Source organism: Homo sapiens, chromosome 12 (genome assembly GCF_000001405.40).
Source record: "Homo sapiens chromosome 12, GRCh38.p14 Primary Assembly".
NCBI lineage: Eukaryota > Metazoa > Chordata > Mammalia > Primates > Hominidae > Homo > Homo sapiens.
Window position 1 is genome coordinate 74663354 of NC_000012.12, and position 1087 is coordinate 74664440.

The following is a 1087-nucleotide window of genomic DNA, read 5'->3' on the forward strand; positions in this document are numbered from 1 at the left end:
CTTTCTTTCTTTCTTTCTTTCTTTCTTTCTTTCTTTCTTTCCTTCCTTCCTTCCTTCCTTCTTCCTTCCTTCCTTCCTTCCTTCCTTCCTTTCTCTCTCTCTGTCTCTTTCTTTCTTTCTTCTTTCCTTCCTTCCTTTTTTTCTTTTTATGCAAAGTTTTATTTTTAAACTTTTAAAATTTGAAAACAGCTAACCTACATTAAATAACATAGTTTCCAAAGCTGAACGTGCTCACTTACAGCTTAGTTTTTCTGCTTGAAGTACAAACACAATTTCCTAACACTCCTAGGTGGGAACACTACTGTTTGCTGATCTGTGATGAGATGAACTGATCGATCTCAGTTGGCAACATCCCTTTTTCTTCCGTGGTAAGCGTTGAAAAAATTATAGAATAGATGAATTTTTCTAGTTTTACACCGACAGTTTCATCCCAAATGTCTCCTGGGAGAGACATAGACCATATACAGGAATCCATCTTCATACTTCTCACTCTCATACGCCTCTGAGATTGGTGTGGAGACGCTCACCATGCTGTGTCCGTTCACCAACAGGAGGAAGGCTTGAGTAGCATTGAGATGTAAGCGCTTTGTAATTATCTTGATGTGCTCACTCATGTTGACCTGGTCAGGTACAAGGAACCTTTTATTCAGGACAGGAAGCTGCTTCTCACCCTTATATCCTTCTATTATCCCTGGGATTTTGGTTGGATGCTGCGCTAGAATGAGTCGGACATCTTCTGCTCTTCGTTGGAAGGTGCGGCGCTGCTTGAAGGTCTTCTCCGACCGCATGGTGCGGGGATCTGGCCCGCGCTGGCAGCAACCCGAGGGTCCTGGCGGCTCCCGGGGCGGGGGCGGCAGCGGTGGCGGTGACAGATCCAACTCGCCATCTCATTTTCTTCAAACGCTGTGGAGACATCATACGGAACAAGGAAATATAAACCCACTGATAATGATGATGGTAATAATGACAATAACTAACCTTTTACATAGCATATCTGTGTACAAGTCCCTGTTTTTTGGGCTTTGCACATACAGTCATGCCCGATTTGATGACAGGGGTACTTTGTAAGAAATGCGTCAGTAGGCAA

The 1087-nt window shown here is 43.7% G+C and overlaps 1 pseudogene; it reads right to left on the reverse strand.

The window, feature by feature from the left end:
• Positions 1–214: 214 nt before the first annotated feature.
• On the reverse strand, positions 215–881 carry LOC387869 (microtubule associated protein 1 light chain 3 beta pseudogene; annotated as a pseudogene).